Genomic DNA, 2,752 nt, shown 5'->3' with positions numbered 1-2,752 from the left:
GCAATCACAGCTTACTGCAGCCTTGACCTCCTGGGCTCAAGAAATCCTGCCACCTCAGCCTCCTGAGTAGCTGGGACTACAGGCATGCATCGCCATGTCTGGCTATTTATTTATTTGTTTGTTTTTTATAGAGATGGGGTCTCCTTATGTTGCCCGGGCTGGTCTTGAACTCCTCGCTTTAAGCAATCCTCCTGTCTTGGCCTCCCAAAGCACTGAGATTACAGGTGTGAACCACCATGGCCAGCCTTATTTTTATTTTTAAATCAGCCTTGTCAAGTTGAATTGGTCATTAATCTTGTATAATGGTAATTTGGGGCAGCATTGGTTGGGCGGGGGGTGGGGAACATTTAGGACCCTGTGGGCTACAACTCGTAGTGTGTGCACTTATTTTATTTTATTTTATTTAGTTTTGTTTTGTTTTATTATATTATATTTTTTTGAGACAGGGTCTCACTCTGTTGCCCAGACTGGAGTGCAGTAGCATGATCTTGGCTCACTGCAACCTCTGCCTCCCAGGTTCAAGCGATTCTCCTGCCTCAGCCTCCAGAGTAGCTGGAACTACAGATGCACGCCACCACGCCTGGCTAATTTTTGTATTTTTAGTAGAGATGGGGTTTCACCATGTTGGCCAGGCTTGTCTCAAACTCCTGACCTCAGGTGATACCCACCGTGCCTGGCTGTGCACTTATGTTTGATTTTTGCAGAACCACCCTTCCCTAATGGTTGTCTCCTAGTTCCAAAGTGACTTTATTCATTTTAGAATGAACTTACCCCATTGATACTGTAACCACAGTTGGCATACATCATGATTGGCAGAACTTGGTCATGTTTAGCGAGATGGAAGTCTTCTGGAAACTCCTTCTTGTAGACGTGGAGGTCAGGGTGCACATTCTTCAGTGCCTGGTAAAGGGCTTCCTCTTGCCCCAATTTGGTTAGGGGCATCCCAAAGCCACCGTAGCCCACAATATCAAACTTGACACAGTCCCTGAACTTGATGTAGTTGGACAAGGGATCTTGTTGACATTGGGTCTCTTCTTCACGGTGGTCATCCCATGGTCTCATGTGATGATGACGCTGAGGTGCTCTGCAGGCTGTGCTTCTCAGTGGCTCCCACCAGATACCCGATGGTCCTGTTGATTTGCTGAATCATCAACTTCCTGTTCTCTGCCTCTGGCCTGAATCGATGTCCCATGTTATCTGGCTCTCTGTAGTACAGAGTCACAAAGTCAAATTCTTCCTTGGTGAACCAGTTCAATACGGTATCGATGTTCTCCCTCCGCTCTGTCTCCTTGCTGTTCGGGTGAGTGTAGGACTCCACCAGGGACCGCTTGACAGCCTCACCCTCATATTTAGCACCTCCCCTGGAATAGTGGGATGATGCTGCTTTGTTCCCCTGCAAGTACAAGAAGAAAATTCCATCAGGGCCATTTCTCATACCTTTCTCACAATCAGCAAAGCTCGAGTTGTCTACATTTGTACCCCAGTCCAAAGACGTAGAAAATATGTGGTCTTTGGAGTCAGACAAGGTGGAGTTAGATTCTGGGCTTCCCCAGGATCTCATAGCATCTACAACACTGTTAGTTACAAGATGTGCTATTATTTTATGGGCTACTAAGCAGAAAAATGCTGCCAACGAGACCGTGACATTCCAGTGATTGTAAGGTGTATTCCAACTTCAGAGATGGCAAAATGAAAAATGATTCCTTAGAATAGAGGGAGACGGTAATTTCTGAGTTGGTGGTGGTGAATCCGTGCATGTGTGTTTTTTATATATATACACACATATATATACACACACATATGTATAGATATGTGTATATATAGACATACCTATATACATACACATATATATGTGTGTATATATAGTGGTGCAGTGGTACAATCATAGCTCATTGCACCCTTGAACTCCTGGGCTTAAGCGATCCTCCCACCTCAGCCTCTTGTGTAGCTGGGGCCACAGGCATGTACCACCATACCTTTTTTTTTTTTTTTTTTGAGACACGGTGTCACTCTCTCACCTAGGCTGGAGTGCAGTGGCACGATCTCAGCTCGCTGCAACTTCTGACTCCTGGGTTCAAGCAATTCTCTTGCCTCAGCCTCCCAAGTAGCTGGGATTATGGACACGTGCCACTATGCCCAGCTAAGTTTTGTATTTTTAGTTGAGATAGAGTTTTGTCGTGTTGGCTAGGCTGGTTTCGAACCCCTGGGCTGAAGTGATCCACCTGCCTTGGCCTCCCAAAGTGCTGGGATTACATGTGTGAGCCACCGCACCTAGCCCTAATTTTTTTTTTTTTTTTTAGTGTTTGTAGAGATGAGGTCTCGCTAATTTGCCCAGGCTGGTCCTGAACTCCTGGGTTCAAGTAATTCTGCCTCAGCCTCTCAAAGTACTGGGATTACAGGTGTGAGACACCGCTCCTGGCTGGTGGTGAGTTTTAGCATTTTCCAGTGTCTCAGTGTTTCTACCTGTAGAATGCCAAAAAGTAGATGGCATCTTTGCGAGGATTAAGCCAACTAGCTTTTTTTTTTTTTTGGAAACAGAATTTCTCTCTTGTCACCCAGGCTGGAGTGCAATGGCGTGATCTTGGCTCACTGCAACCTCTGCCTCCTGGATTCAAGTGATTCTCCTGCCTCAGCCTCCCAAGTAGCTGGGATTACAAAGCCAGCTAGCTTTAAGATACAGTGTTGGGTATCACATTTTGGCACAAAGCAGGCAATCTTTTCTTTGACCCCAGGTGGGACTAAGCCACCGCAA

At 46.0% G+C, this 2,752-nt stretch overlaps 1 pseudogene; it reads right to left on the bottom strand.

Moving 5' to 3' along the window:
• Positions 1–2,752, bottom strand: part of ENPP7P4 (ectonucleotide pyrophosphatase/phosphodiesterase 7 pseudogene 4) — a 61,192-nt pseudogene that overhangs the window by 6,589 nt on the left and 51,851 nt on the right.

This window comes from Homo sapiens, chromosome 3, assembly GCF_000001405.40.
Source record: "Homo sapiens chromosome 3, GRCh38.p14 Primary Assembly".
In the NCBI taxonomy this organism is placed as follows: domain Eukaryota; kingdom Metazoa; phylum Chordata; class Mammalia; order Primates; family Hominidae; genus Homo; species Homo sapiens.
The sequence above is the reverse complement of the archived record's forward strand: the minus strand, read 5'-3'. Positions and strand labels throughout refer to the sequence as shown.